The sequence below is a fragment of the Homo sapiens genome, chromosome 6 (genome assembly GCF_000001405.40).
Source record: "Homo sapiens chromosome 6, GRCh38.p14 Primary Assembly".
NCBI lineage: Eukaryota > Metazoa > Chordata > Mammalia > Primates > Hominidae > Homo > Homo sapiens.
Genome location: NC_000006.12, coordinates 163,946,095 through 163,970,509, shown reverse-complemented (window position 1 = coordinate 163,970,509; position 24,415 = coordinate 163,946,095). Strand labels below are relative to the sequence as shown.

Genomic DNA, 24,415 nt, shown 5'->3' with positions numbered 1-24,415 from the left:
GTTCATTTCATTCTTTTCCTATTACAATCTTGAGTTTAGGTTTTAATTTCAATAAGCTGCTGGTTATTTTCATAAGTGCCTTTTGGGGTTCCGTTTGTTCAGTGTATTTATTGGGAACTAGCAGGAATGAGGCTCTAGGGTTATGAAGATGAACAAGGCAGATACAGCCCCACCCTCGTGCAATGCAGTCTGAAGAAAGAGGCGCAGGTGAGACAAACATTTAAAAAGTTAACCCCAGGCCAGGCATGGTGGCTCATGCCTGTAATTCCAGCACCTTGGCCAAGGCTTGTGGATCACTTGAGGTCACGAGTTCGAGACCAGCCTGGCCAACATGGTGAAACACTGTCTCTACTAAAAATACAAAAATTAGCTCGGCATGGTGGCGGGTGCCTGTAATTCCAGCTACTCAGGAGGCTGAGGCAGGACAGTTGCTTAAGCCTGGGAAGCGGAGATTGCAGTGAGCTGAGATCACGCCACTGCACTCCAGCCTGAGGGACAGAGTGAGAGACCCTGTCTCAAAAGAAAAAAAAAAAAGTTAACCCCAAACTAAAGACAAAAGTATAAATGTTCATCATTGTCTTAGAGGAAAAGAAGAGCAGGCATTAGGTGAGAATCATGATATTTGACCTGAGGCCGCAAGAAAGCAAGGGAGCAAATGAGGAGGGCAGAACGCCTGTGCAGAAGCAGGTACTAGAAGGCAGGAAGATGGCAAGGAGAGAAGAGCCCAAGGCCAGGGGTCCCGAGGCACAGGAGAGATGAGAGTCAGGGGGTGCAGACAGGTCTGCAGGGATCTTCTGGGTGCAGCGGGAAGCCCCCAAATGGCTTCACATGAGAGAGCAGCCACCTGACTTGGGGCTGGAAAGATTTCTTTGGTGCCCATGTTGGGGGTGGGGGTGAAGGAGCCAAAATACGCTCTTCTGGCACTTTGACTACCGAAGTTAAGGGCACTCAAAATGCAGTAGATGCAAAAAAGATTACTTTGACCTTCATGCTGTTTCTTAAAAGCAGAAGATGCAATTCCCAAGTGAAAGGAGCCCTCCCTGTGCTAGAAAGAGGCAACAGCCTTATCCTCAAGGACAAGAAGTCATAACTGAGAGGGCCTTGTTAGCATCATTCTTATCTGTTAAGCCTCCCTGCACAATAGTTGCTTTCTTAAAAGTTACTACTCTTTGTTCAATTCAGTATAAAAGTAATGACTCTAACTACTTTTTGGGTCTTCTTTTTTTTTTTTCTTTTTTGAGACAGTCTGGCTTTGTCACCCAGGCTGGAGTGCAGAGGCATCATGATCTCAGCTCACTGCAGCCTCAACCTCCCAGGCTCAGGAGACCCTCCCACCTCAGCTTCCCAAGTAGCTGGGACTACAGGCACAAACCACCATGCCGCGGTAATTTTTTTTGTATTTTTAGCAGAGACAGGGTTTCACCATGTTGGCCAGGCTGGTCTCAAACTCCTGACCTCAAATGATCCGCCTGCCTCCACCTCCCAAATTGCTGGGATTACAGGTGTGAAACACTGCGTCCAAACTTGCATTAGGCTTTTCTCCTGTTAAAGCATCTTATGTCAACGTTATTCTCGGACTCAGCCATGATCCTAAGAGAATGGAGGTGAAGCTTTTCCATTTCTACAAAGGCAAGGGCAACACACGGAAGAATTATAGAGGTAGCTACCATCATCTACAGAAGGGCAGTATTATGATCTTTGCAAAACATCCAGATAATACTAAAAAATTTTTTAAAAATATCTATGCTTCTATTATGTGAAGACAATCTCTGGTGTGTGGTTTTGTTTGTTTGTTTGTTTTTATTTTTTTTTTTTTGAGTCAGAGTCTTGCTCGCTGCAGTGCAGTAGCATGATCTCAGCTCACTGCAACCTTCACCTCCCTGGTTCAAGCAGTTTCCCTGCCTCAGCCTCCCGAGTAGCTGGGATTACAGGCGCATACCACCACGCCCCGCTAATTTTTTTGTATTTTTAGTAGAGATGGGATTTCACCATCTTAGCCAGACTGGTCTTGAACTCCTGACCTCAGGCAATCCACCCGCCTCGGCCTCCCAAAGTGCTGGGATTACAGACATGAGCCACTGTGCCCGGCCAACAGTCTCTGTTTTTATAGCTGTCTAGAGTTTGTTAGTGCCTATGTCTACACAGAAATATAAGGAGCTTGTTATTTTTATAATACAGTGAGATCATATATATTACCGCGTACCCTGTTTTCTCCTGACTGCGTCATTAGGATTTTCCATAGGGATAAATTTAAAAGTAGTAAACTTAGAAATTTTCACATTGATAACTTTAATAATTTAATGCATGCTAATAAAAATATGGATATAAAAGTTTACTGAGGCAGCCCACAGTGATTAGTGGTTAATTCTTTTTTCACATAAACAACATAGCAACGTACACAGAATACAGACTGTGCGTACATCTTATCACAGTTCAAGGAATTAGTACCGAGTTAGCACCCCTGTGTAAGCGCTACTGTACTTAGATCAGGAAATCGAAAGTTCCCAGTTTCCAGATATTCCTTTAGCCCTTTCTCCATCAATATCTCCTCTCACCCCTCCAAAGATAACTACTCTCCTGATGTCCAATACTTTAAATTAATTTTGACTGTTTTTGAATTTTATGAAATTATTCAGTCATTTTTATTATGGAACATGCATTCTTTTGCTGGGCTTCTCTCACCAAATTTTAGGATTTTGAGATTTTCTATGTTATTGCATGTGCCTATAATATATGTTTATTGCAATATAGATTCTATTGACAGATAAATCTTTTCACATATCAATGATTATTTGCTCAGCACAAATTTGAAGAAGTAGAATTGATAGGCCAAATAGAGAAACATTTGATAGATATATGTAGTTACTCTCCCAAAAGGATACACTAATTTACTCTTCCACTAATGGTGCAGGAGTGTGTCTAATACTCACCCACGGCCTGCAGTGAGTATGAACTTTATTTTTGCACCTGTGCCAATCTGAGAGACAACTAAAACATTTATTGTTTTATAACTCCTCTTAGAACATTTTGTTAGTAATTTGCACAAATGCATAAAACATTTATAAATCTTTTACAGCCTTTTCTCCTTAACAATATATTAACATTTTTCTTTGTCTCTAAATCCACAACTGTGTCACCATTTTAAATTAATGCATCATAATCTATAATATGGATATGCCAAAATTTACTTTCTGAGAGGTCACTGTATAAAAGACATTGCTTTTTTTTAGTGAACTCACTGTCATAATTTCCCTTAATCCTCAAGAAAATCCCATGAACTGTGGTCTCTGAATATATGCATTTTAACAACAAGGAAATTGAGGCACAGAAAGATTGGAGAATAACTCGCCTAAGATTAAACAGCTAGTGAGATTTGGAAACAAAATTTGAACCTAGTCAGGTCTGGTTTTAACAGCGATAATTTTAATACCCTCAAAACACTCACTCTCTTCACTAATTAATTATCATACTTTTCTCTCCTTCAAAACAAAAGATGTGGTTTATTCCCACTGCATTTTCATAGCCTCTTGTAGATTGTAATTGCCCGATAAATGCAGCTTCCTTTATACTTCATTTCACTAATAAAATGCAACAAATGAGTGGAAACAAAAGTGAATCACTGTTGGATTTGAAAACGTAGTGTTTTTGTTTCTTACAAAATGATAACTGTGGTTTTCTACTGGCAGATACATGAAATCACTGTTATTTTATGTCTTAAGTTTTATACTATGAATTTTTATTGGTCCAAAGAACAGAAATTCTAATATACTTCTAGATTTTAGTTTCTACATAGGACAAACTTCTTAAACTCAGCTGAGGAGAGTCATTTATTTCATTAGTGAGTGGTGGCTTTGGTTTTGTGGCTGCCCCCACCCCAAAATACTTGTTATGGAGTTACCAGGGCCACCCGGTAAAGTGGAAGAGTTTATGCATTGTCCAGATAATTTCAGAATAATTCTTGACAGTTTCTCCAGAATTAGCAGATAACTGGCTTACTCCTCATTACATTTGTAGCTCTGGAAATTGACATAGGATAAAAGGTAATAGAAGAGATTATTGTATTAGGGTTATTAAAAATTCCAGATACACGAAAAAGTGTACGTAAAAACCACCCACACAATTCAACTGTTAACTGTGGGTTAAAAACAGTGTGTTCAGCCAACCTCTTTCAACACAGTAGTCACCTAAATTGCTGTTTTTAAAAGCTAGTGCCTGTCCCTGCGAAGCCCAATAGCCGTCACATGATTAATGTGCTAGTGTCTTATTAACTGCTCTGTTCCAGAAGCTGACCAATTCACAGCCACCCTTTCTGCAGAGACCTTTTTGTAAAAACCTAGTTGAAATCATGGTGTTCTGACTGCAGGCTACTGCATCCCCCACCAAAACATCATAAAGAGCAAAGAATTACTGTTTCCAGTAATCCAGGCCATAAATCAACCTGCTGTGAGCACAGGAAAAAAAAAAAAATCACGAGCACTTCCTGCATTCATATTCCAAAGCCTAGCGGTATCCCAGCAGGTTCTGGAACACGCCATGCCCCGTGTGTGTGGTGTTTGTATGTGTGTGCTTGTAAGCAGACGTGGCAGGAAGGGGGAGGCTCAGGGAGAGGGGAGGGCAAAAGAAATCCCAGCACCCGTTAACATAATTCCAAATGCTTTGATCTTATCACGACCTTCCTTGCTGTAACAATATTTTAAGATTGTTAAAAATTGCCACCTTATCTGTCTGGGGGTATCACCCACTGCTTAACTTATCTGGGCCCAGTTGTTTGAGAGAAATGCAGTATGGCATGACCTTGGTTTCTTAGCACCTGACTTTGAATATCTAATCAGTTGTGTGTCTCGGTGAAGCCATCCAGACATGTCACACAGGCGCCTCTGGCACCCAGCAATTCTAATGATGTTTACTTCATTCACCCCTTTTACGAGAGCTTCCAGCAGCAGCACTCAACCACCCCACCCTTCCAATCTGGGCTCCAGGGTCCTTCCAGGCCTAGAGCGTATTTTTAAATCTTGGATGCCCTTTCCATTGAAAATAATTTGGATGCCTTGAGGTCAGTCGCAAAAAGTTTTCTGAGATCATATAGAGACTTCTGAAGAGAAGCCTCAATTTGGATCAAGAAAAACATTAAACCTCATGGCTGTTGTAGTTTTCACAAAACACAAACCCTTCCCCTCCAGCAACGTCAAGTCTTAAGGTCATACAATACAATGTGGAGAACACACATGCACAGCTTCGTTAATTTTAAAAAGGTTTCTTAGAAAGGTCCCAAATATTTAATGGCCCCAGATCGAAGTAAAGTCTTAAAATCTAGAAATGAGAGAAACAGATGTCAGAATTATTAGAGTACCATATAATAAAAGTGACATAAAAGGAGTTGATTTTCTCTCTCTCAGTGACTTAGGAATCAAATTTCCTTCGTTGAGAAAGCAATAGAGTTTCCTGCCAGCCTGGCGGGCTCAACCTGGAACCTGGAAATCAAGCTGTTTTCTTTCTGGTTCTGACGCTGTCACCAGGAATAAATGTTCTACCATCGCGATGCTGCTGACTCCCAAATCTCAACCCAGGGCAGGAGGGCACCCTGGTTACTCTCTTTTCTCGTCACTATTATTATAGCATTCATTGACATGACCTGCTACAAACTGTAGTGAACTCTTTTGGACTAATTCTGGAGAATGATTTTCTGCAAAATAAGCAGTGATATTCTTCTACACTTAAGAGACCAACCAAGACCCTGTGTGCCTTTCTTGCCTCCTGATCCCCTAATAAAGCTGGGGTGGTGGGGAGGGGCCACACTGGTATCTAGGCCCCAGATGCTCTTACTGCAAAAGAACAATCCCGGTTGAGGGGGCTGTGAGGACATCCCTGAAACTTATTTTAATTGACCTGCTTGTCCCTCCCCAGATCACACAGCCTGTCCAGATGTCCGAGGTAGGGTATCCATGAGACGAGGCAGGTCTGTGCTGGGGGCACCTGCAGTGCTTCATTGGTACGAGGAAGGCGTGGGCTTCCTGGGAGAGAGTCTCCTAACCCCTGCCCTGGTGAGATGGGGCTTCACCCACGGGGAGACTCGAGGTCCCTGCAGCCAAGCCCAGCAGGAAAGAGCGTCCCCAGCACGTGAGGAAGACTGTGGCACCCAGGGGAGCTCAGTGACAGCCCCGGCGCCCACAGGTGGCTTAGTCCATCCCTGTCTGTGCTCCATCTGCTGTGCAGGCAGCTCTGAAACCCTTCAGCAACTTCTCATTGGCTCCCAGCTGGGTGCCCCTGCGTGGTTCACAACCAGGCTCCACCGAACTGGCCTTCAAAGCACACTAAACATCCACCTGCAGGAGCAGCTTTGGAAAATTATTATTTTAATTGACAAATAATAATTACACGTATTCACAGGGTTCAATGTGATGTTTTGGTCTAGTATACAATGTCGAGTGATTAAATCAAACTTATTAACATATCCACCACCCCTCTTATTGTCCATGGTGGGACACGTGAAATGTACTCCCTTAGCAATTTAGAAACATGCAACGGTCATTATTAACGATGGTCAGGAGGTCAGCCACGGATCTCAAGAGCTCTGAGCCTGAGAATCCGCCTCTGGGGGAGGGGGGCCTGACGAGAGAGGCTTACACTGAAGAGCATCTTGGCTTTGCGGAGGCTTCCTAGAGTTTCTTAAACATTGAGGGAGCCCTTGCCATTCTTCCAAGTCAAACCCTTGCACTTGGAATCCAGGTTTGTGTCTCTCTCCAACAAGAGGCCTGTGACGCTCGCCCTGCTTGTTCTGTTGAATGTTACTTTGCGAGCGCGTTTACACAACTGTCACTTGAGGTTTGTTTTTAGCTGGAATTGTCCTCTCTCCTGAATTCCTCTCACATCGCTCCCCCACTTATCTCCCGGTAAACTAAAGCCACCCCTGAATGAAGAGACAGAGCCCGAGCTGGGTGGGAAGACGGTTCACATGCTGACATTTTAGTCACTGAAGAATTTGTAATAGGTTTAGAGGCTGGTCTTCAAAAATCCTCACATGTACAACAAGGCCCCAGATTTGAGGAGGAAAATAACTCTGCAGCCCCGAGTCAGCCGTTCCCCAGCCACCTCTCCCCTCAGAGTCCCACTCTGGGGCAAGTGCTTCTGGTAGGTGTGTGGCTGTGAGGGCCCGGTATGGAGCTCCAGGCTAAATAAAGCTGCAGGAACAGAGATAAACAAGTGCTCCCAACTCAAATGCCTGCACACAATATCCTTTATCTGGGCAGAGATAGCACACCCAGGAGAGTGGCCAAGCGCCCCCCATAGACGGACCCACAGGCGCCCCCCCCCCCCAATTAATACAGAATTAATTGGGACATATTGTTAAAGGGCTAAGGCCCCTCAGAATAGATGCCAAACTCCAAGGACACCAATGTCAAATTCCAGAAGGACAGCGGCATGGGCCAATGGGAATAAACCCCAGCCGTTCCTCCCACGGGCGCTGAATCGGATCCCATAGAGCCCGCCTGCTTCACATGCTAACGTGATGATGAACGTATCCAAGTATCAGCATCAAATCCTTGAGGACTATATTTGCAATGTCATGTAAACCGTTTCAGGGAGCAAACTGTCCTGCTGTGACTTTATATTAATCTCTGGCTTCTGGCTGGTCACAGGGTGTCACATGTACTATAATTAGATTTTGGAAGTGTGTACAGGGAGGAGGAAATGGTGTAATTAAGGTAACCTATCAGATGCCCAACTGCATCCTTCAGAAAGGAGGCTGAAACGCCCGCCCTCCCAGCTTTCACACTGCCCTTCAAGGGCAGAGGCACCAGGTGCAGGAATTGCAGGCACTCCAGAGCCACCACCGCAGAGCTCCTCTTTAAAGAAACCTATTCTCCACACCAGAATCAATCCGGTGAGGTTGTTAGCTCGTGGTGCATATCCGGACAACTTAAGAGGAAAGCCGGGCAGGGCACTTAGAAACTTTGACTTTGCATTTGGGCTACAAAGTCCCATCTTCAGGATGGGGGACTATAAGGGAGTTTATGGGGATGCGGGGATCTCACTTAAATAGTCAATCCAACAAGTGGCACGGGGGCTCTAGAAGCTGATTTGGCCAAGGTGAGCTACAGCGAAGCAACACCCTGCACCTTTCTGCATCTTCCACTCAAGGATTGGCGCTTCACACCAGGCAGCTAGCTCCTAACACCCACCTCTAAGAGCAAGAAGAGAAGGAACTGAGTCTGGCAACAGAAAGTCTAACCCAAGCTGTCCAAGTCCAACCCCCGGGTATTGAGCTCTGCCCACCTAGGACTTGAGTGATCAGGCCTCAGTGGTCAAAGGAAGCATGTGGGTTCGAATCCCAGTTCCTCCTCACCTGGGCTGGGTTACTTCAGTCAAGTTACTCAACCTCCCTGTTGTAGGCCACCCGCCCTGCCTCCCTTTCTTCACCTCCCTGACTACCTCCCCTTCCCACTGCCTCTGGTGTTGGCTAGAGGATCACTTTGGCCACTGGGATGATGAGGAGTGACATGGCTGAGATCTGGGGAGTACCTGCTCACCGCCATGTGCTCCCCTGGTAACCCTCTCACCATATTTGGAGGAGCCAAGGCCACCAGGCTGGAGGAAGCAGGAAAAGGCCCAGTGGCCCTGTCATCCACCGAGCTCTACACCCCCGCAGGAGCCATTCTGGCCTGACCCTGAAGCCTGAATCAGCCCAGCCTCACCCCAGAGTGCCGCCCAGGGGACCACAGCCTCTAGGGCAAAATCAACAGTGGTTGTTTGAAGCCACTGAATTTTGGGAAGGTGGTTATACAGCAATTGAAGACTGACATAGTTCCTAAGCCTCCATTTCCTCATTTCCAGAATGAGGACAATGAAAGTCATTCCCTGAAGGGCAGTCGCCAGGACAAGGGAGGTGGCACCCCAGCCCTGAGCCTGGGCAAACCCCAGCCCCTGCCAGCCCCATCACAGAGGTGCACTGTCTCCAGCACAGTTTAAAAATGCAGCTGTCAGGCTGGGCGCAGTGGCTCATGCCTGTAATCCCAGCACTCTGGGAGGCCAAGACGGGTGGATCACAAGGTTAGGAGTTCCAGACCAGCCTGACCAACATAGTGAAACCCCGTCTCTACTAAAAATACAAAAATTAGCTGGGTGTGGTGGCACGTGCCTTTAATCCCAGATACTTCGGAGGCTGAGGCAGGAGAATCGCTTGAACGAGGGAGGCAGAGTTTGCAGTGAGCCAAGATCGTGCCACTGCACTCCAGCCTGGGCAACAAGAGGGAAACTCCAACTTAAAAAAAAAAAAAAAATGCAGGTGTCACAGAAGCTTTTCCAAATTTCTAAGTTTTAAAAACAACAGTTGGGCATGTAAGAAATACAAGCTCTACCTTTTTTTTTTTTTTTAATGTCAGAGCAAATAAAAGAATGGCAGTGAGAACTCCTTGCATCATTTCTCCCACCTTTTCATCCCCAGTGACAGTGAAATGATAGAGCAGCACTCACGGCACATCCTTTGGGCAGGTTTTGTAGCCCCCAAAGCTGAAAACGGAGGGTGAGAGAGTCCCAGGTTACTGGCTGGTGCCAGGTGCCCCAGAAGCTTATGTATCCTCCTCACACCCCACCACCCCCAAGAATGAGGCCACAGCAGCTCCCAGCCCTGCACACGTTGGAGACACCAAAAGTTTCTTCTCCCTCCTGGTCTTCAGACAAAGCCTGCACGGAGTGGGAAAGGAGATGACAGGGATCACCAACAGAAAATGCCTCAGGGCTAATTAATGAGCACCACGGAAGGGGCACCAGAAGGCATTTGCCATATTTAGTCTCCAAAAATCAAGGAAAAGGAGAAAGTTGCTTTCTGAAAAAGTACCGTGGTTTAGTGGTTCATTTCTGCACTGCATAAGCTCATGGAGCTCCTGGGCACGTGAGAATAAAGCCCTCCTTACTTTATTCTGTCAATAAGAGCTAAATTACACACAAGTGTGTAAGGAGTGGAACGTAGAAGAGAGGGAGGACGAGGAACGGGCATGGCTGAGGGGCCCGCCGTGCACCCAGCACACCCCAGGTGGCCCCACAAGGTGCTATGACCCTCTCAGCCCAGGAGCGGAGAGGAGCCGGGTTGGAACCCAGCCTTCCTGACTCCAGCGTCAGGATTCTTCCTGCTCCTCCATGCCAGCCAGGGAAAGGCAGCTCAGAGTGTCCTGATTCAGGGCTGGGAGAAACGCAGCGCACCCAGGAGCATGTCCCGGGGCCAAGGCTCCAATCCTTGCAGAGACAAAGAATCTGGATTAAATACAAATGACCCAGTTCAATCAATCCCTGGCATTCACTGAGAATTCAGGAAACAAATCTAAAACAGAACAACAAAGAACTGATATAATTGCCACGATGAAGCTGGGGCTGCAGGGATTACCTCTGTGGAATTAAGGGAAGCTGATAAGATTCTCCTCCTCCATAAGGATTATTACAAGAGCGATTGGTAAGGTCTGTTATTTTACAGAAAAATGGGTTTTGAACATGTTCTTCAGATTGTAGTGCTAAATCTCCAGGGCGTGTGACTGGAGCTTCTGTTGGAATGACATTTTTATTCATTCAGGAAGCATTTATTAAACACTGACTAAGAATAGCTCGCAATCCCAAGGAAACAGGAGAAAGCTAGGGAGTGAGCCCTCAGCGAGCTTCCCGATGTTGGGTAGATGACACGCGTGGAGGGAGGGGGCACAACACGGAGTGAGTGCCCACATGTGAGCACGGAAGAGAGCAGCCAAGGTGCAGTCCCTGCCAGCCCGAGCTGGGGGCCTCGTGAAGGAGGCAGGCCTGGAGCTCGCTGGAACAGAGGGGCTCCCACTCAGGGTCAGGAGATTCCAGGAAGGAGCTGTCCTGCTCAGTGGGCCGGGTGCCAGTAGCGGAACCCCGAGCAACAGCTCAGTCGCTGGGATTTAAAGGGGACACATTGGGGCCCCTGAAGGCTGCTGTGGACTTTCCCAGAGAAAGTCCCAGGTATCTGTGAAGGTGATGTTGGAATCAATCTCAGTGTTAAAGTAAAAAGAATCAGGTTTCTTGACGATAAAAATAATTGCCAGCAGGACTCAGTTCACACCTGTAATCCCAGCACTTTGGGAGGCTGAGGTGGGAGGATTACTTGAGCCCAGGAGTTCAAGGCCAGCCTGGGCAACATAGTGAAACTCCGTCTCTATGCAAAAAAATACAAAATTTAGCCTGGCCTGGTGGTATGCACCTGCAGTCCCAGCTACCTGAAAGGCTGAGATGGGAGGATCACCTCAGTCCAGGATTGTTGAGGCTGCAGTGAGCCATGCATGATTGCACACTGTACTCCAGCCAGGGAGACAGAGCAAGACCCTGTCCCAGAAGAGAGAGAGAATATTGCCATTTATGTTACATTTCTTCGACTCAGAATAAAAGTCTTTTTATAAAATCCTGCGCATTTTGTCAGAGTCCAAGTGAATTAGAATTAGGGTGGCCAAATTTAGTAAATAACAACAGAGGATGCCCAGTTAAATTTGAACTTCAGATAAGTAGGGAATACTTTTTTAGTAGCAGCATGTCCCAAACATGGCCAGGGTGTTCGTATTTTGTCTGGAAACTCTACTTGCAAGCAGGAGGCAGGAGCTAGACATCAGCAAGAATTCCAGGATTGGTGGGACTTGCATTGCATTGAACAAGAGAGCAGCATGAGGAAGCCCACAGTGCCGGGGGCCTAACAGGAATTCCCCATTCTTTTGAAATGTGTCATATTCAAAGTCACCAGAAGTTTTCTGTTTGAAGGAATTGAATACGTTTTTGGAGTAGAGAGTATTTCTGTAATGGGAAGAAACAATTATCTAATAAATATGCTTAACAATGTTTGTGGATTTTATTTAAATCAAATATCTACATATTGCATTTTCTTAAAGGGACTCGGGGAAAGAAAGCGGTTTGAACAGTAAGACTGCAAAGTCCTGAAAGAGGTTACTTGAAGCAATTGGGAAATCCTGAAAGCACCTATCTGGAAGCTTTGGCTGAGACCAGGCCCAGAAGGACAGACAGACAGCACGTTCCTCTCCGGCTCTGTCCTTCTGCAGGGAAACTGAAGATGGGTGTGTTTTGACCCAGAATCCGCAGGGTTAGAGTTGAATTTTACAAATCACTTCAGGATGCAGCGTTGAGACGGAAGACTTAGGATTGGAGAATTAATTTTCTCTTCCTCCTGAGTAAAGCAGCTCTTCCTAAAGCTGAGAATCTTAGCAGAATGAATAAACCAAATGGCAGCAGTCCGGTAAGCACTGTATGACCCTAATCATTCTGACCATTTTGTACCACGTTTTACAGTGGCCTGATTAAATAGGAGAGAATCCACGTGACATGGTGCTCCTGAGAACAAAGCTAAAGTATGCCAATCAAACCATGTGCCCTGGAGGAAAAACTTGGGGCACTCTCTTCTAGCAGCTAATAAAAAATAGGACAACACTTGAATTCTACACGGAGAACTGTTTCTTACATTTAGTTGATACAGTAAGAAGTAACCAGCTACAGAGAAATCACAAGATCTGGATTAGACCAGAACATTTGTTTATTAAAATGTAATTTAAGTAATCAGAACCTTGTGAATGTTTCAAACTGGAAACCCTAGAAAATCTAAGTTTTCTCATGAGATATTTTCTAGTAAACACTTCCATTGCCCAGTCACACCTATAAAGTGAGTATGCACCTGTGTATGATCCCATAAGAGCACTTTTAAAGTAACAAAACCACTATAATATGAAGAGTAATATGATAATTTCCTTTTCAAACACTGATTTTATGAGAAGCGCTTGATCCCAAAATACCTGTATGAGACCAGCTCACTCTTTCCTACATAGAATCAATACTTTATTGGCCTATAAATCTAAGATGCATATAATTCTTAAGTCTTCTTTTCAAACACTGCTAACTGTTAAAGTATGTCCATTAAAACTAAGGAAAAATCATTTTTATAAAATATGGATGAACCTATGTCTAAACGAAGATATTCATAAAGATAGCACAAAAAATGAGCCAAGACTCAAATGAATAAAAACTTCCCTGACTATCCAAGTGCCAAGCATTGTGTCTCTCAGCATTAGAATATTAAGAAATAGCCTTCCCGCAGTTGTATGTACAGTGGTATAATTAGAATAAAATTGAAGTATTCTTTGAAACAGAAGCCTTAGAAAAATGAGTGAAGAACATCAGTGGATTTCCTAAACTGATATTCTGCGAAGCACTCTTCCAAAAACATTAATAAATGTGCCACAAAATAAATGCCCATGGTCAAACAAGTTTAGGAAAAACTCTGTTGTACAAAATGCACTTTTCATATTAAAGGCACTGAGAAGTTCTGCAACAAAGAATCATGTTTAATTGTATTTAATCCACCATTTCCAAAATTTGAAATGAGAAAATATAATACCCACCCCACTGCTGGCATACCTTTTATTAACCAAAAGAATCATTTCTTAGGAAATTCTAATTTGAGAAACAATAGATCGTTTAAAGAGATCTGGTATTTGCCTTTCTTACCCAAACTTTCAAAAGGAAAGGAAGTGTATTGAAAAAATAATTTGAGGTTTTATTGACTCATGCTGTCAGTCGAATGCTTTCTGTCCATTTTTTTCACGAATTGGGTATATTCCAGCCTCCTGGTCTCCCAGCCTTGGGGAGTGACCTTCCGTTTCCAGGGGAAATACAGGTGCCCAGAACTTCCAGCAGGGGGCTCTGTCCGCTAGCACTGACTGTGAAGGACTCAAAGCTGGTTCAAGGTTAAGATGGCTCAACAAGTGACGAGCCAGAAATGTCATCTGGCCACTAGGACGCCGCATTATGAAAGTGTGATCATGGTTCAAGAACGTTGCCATGAGGAAAATCTGTGCACGGAATTACTATTATTAGGTTTTATCGTGTGTGCATTTTCAAACATAGTAAGACAGCCCAAAAGGGAAAAAGTAGAACAAGCCAAAAAGTATTTTAAAAAAATAATTATCCAATTATAGGGCTCCTGTTGAAAATATTAAAAGAACTTAAAAGTTTCCCTACATGGTTGACAACTCAAGTATGCCCACTTTCTATCAAAAATAATGCAGAAAATACAAAATGCGAGAGAAAAGTTGAAAATAAATGGAAATAAACTACTTCCATTGAAACAAGGGACAAATATAACTCTTCAGAAATAATGTCTGCAAATGAGAGAAGCACATTGTTTTGAGGAAGCTGTATTTTGATGATGTTCACCCCTATAATCTGGATTATTTTTTCTTAAACTCTTTCTTCCATATCCCCAACATCCACCTTCTCCAGAAGGGATCAAACCAAAGCAAAAACGTGCTGTAAAAGATTTACAAATTAAATTGCTAAAGAATGGAAAATACTTGATTTAAGGTGAAAGCCGCACCACTTTAGCCAGAAGAGTTGGAAAGATGACAAATAAAGTGGCCAAGCAAGAAGATCAAAGGTGCAAAATAGACTTAATGGACACACACAGCTTTCTGCCCTTCCTTTAGTTGCCAGGGATGGTGGCTTATTGAAGGCATACGTAGTATTCCCACTGGGAGAGAAATGTGCAGCATGACAGGTGCAAGTGGCTAGTAAATTACGGCATTTGCAGGAGAGAGGAACACTTTATTCCCTCCCAAGCCTTAGGAGAGTGTATACATAACACACCCCTCATGGGTAAGACAATCAAACGTGGCCATTCTCTTGTTGAAATGCCACAACTATCTCTATAAATAATCCAAAAGAGAAAAGCAAATAGACCACACACTGATTTTCATGTACTCATGTGTTGCTTCTGAGAACATGATTACTTTTATCCTATGTTTTGATCTTACTAAGGATCAATGTTATATAAAGGTGTTATTTCCACATAGCCAGTACTTTTATGTACTTTTCATTTTCCCCAGGAAAGCTACTATTGGAATGGGTACATGATGTACACTGTAAAGTTTTGGCAGGAGGCAGAATTGCAGGGGGATACAATGTAATGTACGTAAATGATAATACCAAGCATTTGCGCTTAGATTGGGTCTCAGTCTTTTCATTGGAAATGTGACTTCAGGGAAGAGAAGCTGAAGAATGTCCATTCCTCTGGGCATACCTCATGCAAGCAAGGCTCTGCAGACCATGTGGTGACTATTTCTAGCAGCTAATGATGAGGATCGGGGTGGAATAACAGAGCTCTGACTAAAGGGGAGAGGCGGAGCCCCAAGACGCATTCACAGAGCCACTTGCCACTCACCCATCCCATAGCTGACCAAGCCCCGCCTGGAGGGCTTTGAGACAAAATGTAATTCTCTGGAGTTTATGTCACTGAATTAGTGGAAACTAAGAGCTAAAAGCAAACAATTGCTCCATAGAATCAGACCAGCATGGAATTTTCAGAGTATCCTAAATATCAGCCAGCAACAGAAGTTTGTTGGCAAATACCTCACTACTGACTCTTTGAGAGAATAAAGCCGTGATAGCTAGGATTTGCCAATTTCCATGGTGTAAATGCTCCCACATGGCCAACTGCAAGCCACCAATGTGAGGTCACTGGATGCAGAGCTGGGAATAAATATGTTCCAATGACACTTGGGAGCAGGTCTATGCACAGTACGGGGCACAAACAGAGGCTCCAGAGGCCCAGAGAAGGTGAGTTAAGGTAGATCTAAATTTCCAAGCAGTCTTCCAGGTTCCAAGTCCAGGGCACTTTGTTAAAACACAAAAATCATTTGGTTTAGGAAGCCTTGGCCCCACGCTGGAATGGCTTCTCTTTGTTACATATTAGGATTCGTTTAAGACAGATATCTAAAAGGCATTTTGATGTTTGTGAAACTCCACAAGCAAAACTGCCTTTCATTTAAAAATTAGTTTTAGCTATCTTAAATATAACTTTTCTACAGCAAACCATACACTCTCATTCAGTCGTTTCTACGAGGATTTTTCTGAGAGCACTCCAGAGAAATACTGAAAAACACACCCAACACTTAGCACTGTACATTCTCTTGGCAGAATCTGGATGACGTATATTCAGTAAATCTTCAAGCATTTTTTTTTTTGCCTCTTTCACCCCATACTACCAGAGTTAATTTTAACTTCACCTTTTTCTCCCCCAATTTGTTCTCACAGCATCATTATCTCTGAATCAGAACCCTTCTACAGTAAAGGACAGGGAGGCACTGTGCTGAGGACTAGATGGGGTGGGGGAGGGCAGAAGAACAGCAGGAGCCTCCAGAAGCTGTCCTTAACCCCTGGCCTGTGTTCTCAAAACCGATGCTTGGGTCTAAGCCACCTCCATCTGTTTCCATGGGCTTCTATCCTCTTGTCTCTTAGTGCCATGTAAAAATGAAATTTCTTCTTATGCCCATAAGTTATAAAGCTCTTATGTGGCCATATGAACTTCAAAGCATTTAAATTTCTTATGGATCTTATGTGATTAAATGTGTGGCATCCTGAATAATGAATATGAGGGTAACAAAAGTGGTACTGTTGAGAAAGACATTTATAATGGCTCTAAGATACAGTATCAAACACTTAGTCTGGACCAATAAGATCTTGATAATATGTTTCTTTTTTTAAGTTTTAACCAAGGGTCACCAATGACAGAAAAATTTATAATAAACCACTTCCAAACAATGAATATCTTAGATGAACAAAGCTGAAAGAATTTCAGATTCCCAATTCATCTTTTTACGATTCATGCTGTTTCTCAGTTTATTTTATGACTTCAAACAGAGGAGTGAATGGAAATAATTCGGTTATTTTTATCTCTGTGCCTCTGAGGCTGTCCTGTACTCTCAAACACATTTTGTGCTTCAAAAAAATCTCAAGAGTTGCAAATATTCCAAAGGTGCCAAAGTGATACATTTCTTTTTCAACTTGCAGGGTAAAGATATAGTCCAATTTGGTGAATATTAACATTGTCATTTAGAATAAAATATAATTGCTATAAGAGCTAAAAAATTTTGCATGATCAATGTGCTATACTCAATAAATGCAAGAAAATGAGAAATTAGTCATCAAAAAGGGCAAAAATGAACTCCATAAAAACACAAAATGAAGCATAGAACAATCTAAGCAAAAAGGAATTAGTAAAAATAATGATAAATCAAGGATATTTTCAAAGGAAATGAAACAAATCAAGAACTAAAAACCTAGACATGCTTAAACAGGAAAGAGGAACATTACAATTAGATAATTGGATGAGTGTATTTGGAAAACACCATTGTTTCCATTATTTATTTTAACTAAAATGTGGGACAACAGTAAAAATACAAATGTTATTCCGGGCGACCAATTGTCACAAATGAAACATGGTACAAGGGAATCAAACTACCACAACTTAGCTACAGCATCTGTCAAGAGCCTGAAAAAATATTAAGGAAAACAATACAGAGGAAACAGCAAGAAACAAATGGTTGCCGCGTCGACTCACTTCAGAGCGACCCACGATGGAAAGGTTACCTTTGGGGAGCGAGAAATGCTCAAGATGAGATCAAGCTGGAAATGGACTTTTCTGACACTGTTCCTTTCAGTATTTACACAGAAAAAAAATTAACCCAACACAAGGAGCTTTGCCCACGTGCCTCTTCTCTCCGTCTTTTTTAAGTACATAAAACAAAGAGTACATCTTTAAAGATTCATTATGAGATAAACAGATCTTCAAGGGAATATCACTGACCACAGGTCTGTGGAAAACAAGCTGCGGGCTGGCCGAAGCGGCTTCCTTTTTGTTAAACATTTCTGAATGCCTGACAGTTTTATGTAAATGCAATTTGTTAAAAAATGATTCTGCAGAAAAAAAAAAAAAAACAGGTTGTCAACTAATGGTTGATGAGGTTTTGTTGTAAGTTTTAATACTACACGACCACAAAATCTTGAAAATTCAAATAAATGGAAAACAATTAAAATATGATCAATAATAACATACACCCGACGTGTGTGTGGAAGTGGATGCTCTTGAGGGGTAGTTTCTACAGTCATGGTGACCGCCGTAGAGCCCTGGTATGACTTCGGATGAGAGTGGGTTGTGCCCCAGGTCACACCAGGCAAATCAGCAAAGGCAGAAAGATCTGCACAAATTCTGGGGTTAAGGTAAACACGTGTGACCTCAGAATAATGCCTACATAGTGTTCTTTCCACCCAGTGCTTTGGGGAGTCACAGAAATGGCAGAGGGCTGTGGCTTTGGCTTTCTGTGCTGCTGCTGGAAGGGAGTATATAGATGCGGTGGCGTGTGTGGCTAGACTACAGGGACCTGGATCTCCTGGTCAGTGTGGTCCCGTTCACAGTGTTTTCTGATATTGTCACGGTGATGATGTATTGTTACAGCAGGTGGTTAGTCAGACATGAGCAGGGCAGGAGAGGGCAGCCCCCCACCCCCACCAGGAATGTCAGGCAGCCAGCAGGTGATGGTCAGGCGGTTGCTGTCTCTAAAATCATAATTTGTCACAGCCAGCACCAGGGAAAGGCAGTCTTCCAATAGATGGAAACACCTGAAACTGGGGATCAGCAGCTTCCTGATAAGATCTCAGAAGTTGGCCGAGTGGGCTCAAGCATGTGTGCTAAGAGGCAAAATGGTGGAGTTTAACTGGTCTATGACCTTTCTCCAGGAACACTCGACCGGGAAGGGAAAAAAAAAAAAAATGCCTCAAGTGCGCCTGCGCACAACTCCCGTAAACACAACTGTGCGTGCTCCTTTCCCAGGTGCTGGCAGGTCACTGCACATGCGGACACCACCCCAAGGGAGCAATCAGGAGAGCAGGCGCGCAAGGCCCCGGAAGCATATGCCAGCGTAGAAGACCCCAAGTCAAAGGTCAAACAGGGCACTTGATCACTCAAGTCCCCCGCTAGACCCCCTTCTGCGTGTACTTTACTTTCGTTCCTGCTCTAAAATGTTGTAATAAACTTTCACTCCTGCTCTCAAACTTGCCTTGGTCTCTCACTCTGCCCTATGACCCTCTGTGGAATTCTTCTGAGGAGGCAAGAATTGAGGTTGCTGCAGACCCCTGTGGATTCCCTGCGGCTAACAGTGTCATGAACCCAGCATCCTCCAAACCAGCTTCTCTGACTCAACACTGCTCCCTTCCATCCCTTCCCATTCTACCAACACAGATATTCCTGAAACAGCAACTCCGACTATGCTACCTTCTCATGTCAACACTTCTGAGGGCTCCAGATGTAAATGTAAGTGTAAAGGTATCTTACCAGCTGCCTCAATCCACCATTCCAGGCTCACCACTTCCCAGGCCCTACTGTGCTCCACCCACCTTAGCATCTTGGAAGCTCTGTGGCCAGGCCATGCACACCCAGCCTTGTGCCTGGCCCACTGCGTCTCCTTGGGAAGCACTCCTCCACCTTCCCTACAGACCATCTTATATCTTATACCTTCCATAGGTTCCTTCTAAATGCCACCTCCTCAATCCGCTGTCTCACGTAGAATTAATTCTCACACTTTTTACTTATACAGAAATGTTCTACAGACTTTAGAAGACATCCTATTGTACTAAAGTTTACAGTATATTAGATTTGCATTATAGTTATTACCTGTTTGTTTCCAGTTAGACTGCGGTCTTTGGAGGGTAGGAACAAGTTCTTATTTCTCTCTGTACCCAGCAGCTTACGCACAGTAAGGATTCAGGCAGTACTTATTATTATAGTTAAATAAATGGAGCTTTACAGGTTTACAAGTGTCTCAAATGTTTTTCCATTTTGCAGACTTGACTTAAAAACACAGACATAACCCTTAGAATCACTCCGTGAGTTAGTAGCCATGCCATTAAATGACAGATTTAGAGATGCATATATATTTTCGAATCTTGAACACCCAACTTCCTTTCAGTAAGCAAGATAATACATCAACAAGACTTGCTTTAGAAAAACTTTTATTTGCAAAATTCATAGCTCAGCCGTCGTTATTGTGCTCATTTTTTACATGAGAAAACATTAGCACATAAAAGCTAGACTAATTTACCGGCCTTCCTTGGTGAATTAATGACGGAGCCACAGCTAGCAGCCAAGATTTACTGAATTCCTACATTAATCTTAGTCCATGGAACCACCCAACCTGTGGACCAGTCAAGCTAGACTGAGGAAGAATAGGATTGAAGTAGAACTCCCTCTCTTACTGGCCACTGAGAACAGGGTATGGTTTGAATCAAATGCTTTCCTACAGGAGTCATGAATCAACCACAACTTCCTCCTGCTCTGTATAATTTCTCACTGATTTGAACCAAGCACATGGCAACTACCTATGGCACAATCTTTGGGGATGAAACGTTGAAGCCAATGGACGTTGCTTTAAACTTACCAAGGGCTAACATCTTTGGCAAAACTCTACCTTTGCCTCAATGCATAAGGAGTTTTCCTAAGCACTAGATTCCTTTAAAATTATATGTTATGGGGAAAAAATAAAACTTGCCAAGTTATGCATTGAATGTGACGACCTTCAGTGCATTTTTGGATGTTGCTAAGAAATGTTTTCTTTTCTTTTTTTTTTTTTTGAGATGGAGTCTCTCTCTTTCACCCAGGCTGGAGTGCAGTGGTGTGACCTTGGCTGACTGCAACCTCCACCTCCCGGGTGCAAGTGATTCTCCTGCCTCAGCCTCCTGAGTAGCTGGGACTACAGGTGCCCACCACAATGCCCAGCTAATTTCTGTATTTTTTAGTAGAGACACGGCTTCACATGTTGGCCAGGCTGGTCTTGAACTCCTGACCTCAGGTGATCCATCCGCCTCAGCCTCTAAAAGTGCTGGGATTACAGGCGTGAGCCACCGTGCCCAGCTGAAACGTTTTCTAAATTACATTTGGATTTTCTGCATGCTAAGGGAAACAATTTGCATGTCATCAACAGATACATGAAAATTCCAAGCTGTGTTAGAAAAACTTCATAAACATAAACATTTGGCATGCCAAATTTTATGCCTAAGTATCAAAGGAAGAGTAGCTTACTCATGGTTTTGTATTTAAGATGTCAGCTGGGTCAAACCAATGATAGATGATCAAAGTGGTGCTTTCATTAAAGAGAAGGAAAGGAATGTTAGGCAGACTTTAGAATGCATAAATAACCAAATGAGAAAAAAATGGGAAAAAGTGTGTAAGAATACCCTAGTCAATGTGGAATCAGTTATCTTTTAACATTACACAGAAAGGCAGTGCCAGTGAAACACACATACACAGGTGTGAACACACACACACCCCTAGTGTCAAGTCAGTCCCTCCTCAGGAAATTCCATAACTATGTGACTTAGGGCCAGTTACAAACTCTGAGCCTGGTTTCTCATTTATAAAGTGAGAAGAGTGATGTCTTCTTCACAGGACTACTGTGAATATGAAAATAAATAAGTACATGAAAATGTATTATACCTATGAAAAGCTTGTTCTGTGATAGGCATTTAGAAACAACAGCAAAATAAATGTCATAAAGTCCAGAATGGGTCAGGTGCAGTGGCTCACACCTGTAATCCCAGCACTTTAGGAGGCCGAGGCAGGTGGATCATTTGAGGCCAGGAGGTCGAGACCAGCCTGGCCAACATGGTAAAACCCTGTCTCTACTAAAAATACAAAAATTAGTCTGGCATGCTGGGTGTGCCTATAGTCCCAGCTACTTGGGAGGTTGAGGCAGCAAAATTGCTTGAATCTGGGGGGCAGGGGCTGCAGTGAGCTGAGATCATGCCACTGCACTCCAGCCTGGGCAACAGAGCAAGACTCTGTCTCAAGAAAGAAAAAAAAAAAGTCCAGAATGTAAAGCGCTGATGAGATTCAGGTAAATGTAATCCATGGTAAGTGCGATGCTTGTTAATATGGTTCCTTCCTTTTCTGAGGTTTGAGTTAGGACTCCATTTGTAGAAGGAAGACTAGACCATTTCTGTTTGCACATAAAATCTGCCTCTCAAGGCAGGCTAAGTCACTGGGCACTGTCTTCGCCTGCCAAGCTCCCTTGGGCCCAGCCCAGTTCAGATCTTCCTGTCCTAGGGTGGCCTCTCTCCCTACCTGCCCCTGCCCCAGGGATGGCCTTTACTACCAAGCAGTGGTGGGAAAGACCAAGCCCTCCCTCTCTCTCGGGGCTCTACTCAAAGGAAAAACTTCTGACGTCATTTTACATTTTGTTGTTCTCAGTGACCATTCTCAGTTCCATCTCACTTTTCTACTTTCTTTTGATTTTCTTCTGTTTTCATATTTTTATTTTATTATTTGATGAACTTGTGTTATCATTTCTTTTGCAATCTCTACGCATCTCACACTGTTCTTTTGCGGGACTGCTTTTCTTCTCTTCTTTCTACAACTTTGTTCTTCTCTTCCTCTTCTTTCTCCCTCTCTTTACCTTCTCCCAGGGCTGATACAGAGCCAGTGCCAAGGGCCCACAATACTTTAAGGAGCCTTCAAAATATTTTTATTTCTTTTAAAATCAGAAGAAAAAAATGAATGTTGGGGTCAAATGAAATGTTTCAATAAACAATACTGATATATTAATCTTCATACCAACAGTCATAAAATAATTATGTAATTGTGAATATAATCTTGTTATCGAAAAAGTGGCCCGCACATAGTCTCCAGAGCCCATAAAGTCATCATGCGTCCTTGCCTTCTCCCTCTACTGAAGCTTACCAACACTTCTACTTTTCTCCACTTTACTTTTACAGTAAAATTCACTTCATCATTTTTTTCCATGTTTCTCCCAACAACGAACTCAAGAGCTCACTTTTCCATGTTCCCATAGAACCTTGAGTATAAATATCCATTACAGCAATCATTATATTAATACCAATTATCCTTTTGTGAGCCCTGCTGGATTGTGAACCCTTGGCATGGCTGAACCTATCTTACTTAAGTTTACAGAGGACTCATCAATGTTTTATATACAAACCAATGAGCAAAGGAATCAGTACATAATCAATGATTCATACTTCAAGCACTGCTCTCACTCACTGAAATGTACATACACCATCCACCGACCAAGCCTTGTCATGAGCAGGGAAGCCCACAGGGGAGAGGAAGGTGTGTCTCTGCTGGTGTAGAAGTGTAGGGGCAGGTGGTGAAGTTGTCAGCAATGCCACACTGGCGTAAGAGTGCTATGATCGAAAGGAACTGCTGCTGCTGTAGCCAAGGCAACTGGAATTGAGGACATTTTTGGTGAGTTAAGTCTGCTCATCCTTTGGGTCCTGTTTGCCAGTGGAAACTTCCTCTAAAGGAGCTAACTTCCTAGGAATGAATATCTATTTTTCTGCATAACAAACCAACCCATTATTCAAATTCATTGATGTCCAGTTAATGGAGGCAGCAGAAATACCAGGGGAAAAGTCCAGCCACTGTCCACCCTGCAGCCATGAGCTCTTAGTGCCTTAATGGACAGGCAGCTGTGAATCAGATGGAGGGAGGGAGCAAGGCTGAAAGTAAGACAGGAAAAGCGCTGAGTCTATGGAGTTCACACTTCCAACACCACCATCATGTATGGACTCCTGTTTTTCAAAGCTCAAGTAACATTTCTTCGTTTCTCATTATTGTGGCCTGACAGTTTCAAAGCACCACCTGTACTTCTGAACTGGATAATGTACAGGGAAAGGGTGTGTGATATTACTACTGACAAGAATCCAAAATGAGGACTTTGAGCTCTTGAACATAAGCTAGTGTCTTGATAGGTGAGTAAATCAAAACCTCCCACTGAAAAGACTAGGATTCCCTAAACAGGGATCCATGTGACTGTGGGTCTGCAGGAGAAAACAGCTGCGACTTCAAAAATTTGACTTGGGGAAAAAAGAAAGTGCTGTTTTCCCTCTAGAACTTTCAGTTCTCGTAGCTTCTTTTGTTGCTGTAAAATTATATTCATTAACAAAGCCCCTGGGAGAGCTGCCATGGTGGAGCGGCAGTTGGAAATAATGCTGCAGAATGAGACGAAAATTCATCCAAGGGTTTGCACAATTTCAGGGCCTCAAAAAATTGAGATATTAAGCAACAAGTCCAGCAGGGCCGTGCACCTTGCAGTGAAACTGCCCTGGACCCTGATTCCTGCACTCACAGAGAATCGAAGTGACTGCCTGCTCCACAATTGCCCCTCAGCTTCCTCCAGCGGCACAACCCCACCTCAAAACACAAAGAGAGTCTGACTATCCTGGCAAGACTTAAAAGTCCAAATAAGAAAAAGTAGAAATAAATGAAAAGCCTGTTCTTACTATTCTACCAGAAAACAGAAAGTGGAACTCATTAACAGTCTTTATTCTTTCATTTACCGAACTGTGTCAAACTCTGCATCTGGCACTGTAAGCCCTTGAAATGAAGAAAATAAACATGCAAGACGGTAAGTAATAGCTCATCCCTAGAAGGCTCACATGGGAAAACCCATGGAAGGTGAATGTGTAACATGGAGGCGATGAAGGCTAGAATCCCCATCCACAGTCCACAGACAGACAAAGCAATATTGCCCCTCCATGAGCCCTTTCCTCCCCAGCTCCTCCTCAGGGAGCC

General features: G+C 43.4%; 1 long non-coding RNA gene across 1 annotated transcript in view, besides 3 other annotated features; it reads right to left on the bottom strand.

Moving 5' to 3' along the window:
• LOC105378102 (uncharacterized) overlaps nucleotides 1-24,415 on the bottom strand; it is a 155,467-nt gene that overhangs the window by 88,457 nt on the left and 42,595 nt on the right. The window lies entirely within an intron of this gene.
• Nucleotides 5,153-9,200: an enhancer, noted in NCBI's record as "VISTA enhancer hs1955". NCBI's record gives its function as "enhancer in: heart[5/8]" and the evidence as "EXISTENCE:transgenic organism evidence [ECO:0001131][PMID:17130149]".
• Nucleotides 9,538-10,309: an enhancer, noted in NCBI's record as "H3K4me1 hESC enhancer chr6:164381233-164382004 (GRCh37/hg19 assembly coordinates)". NCBI's record gives its function as "activates a minimal SCP1, AML or CMV promoter by ChIP-STARR-seq in primed H9 embryonic stem cells {active_cell/tissue: H9 hESC(primed)}" and the evidence as "EXISTENCE:reporter gene assay evidence [ECO:0000049][PMID:30033119]".
• Nucleotides 18,181-18,681: an enhancer, noted in NCBI's record as "H3K4me1 hESC enhancer chr6:164372861-164373361 (GRCh37/hg19 assembly coordinates)". NCBI's record gives its function as "activates a minimal SCP1, AML or CMV promoter by ChIP-STARR-seq in primed H9 embryonic stem cells {active_cell/tissue: H9 hESC(primed)}" and the evidence as "EXISTENCE:reporter gene assay evidence [ECO:0000049][PMID:30033119]".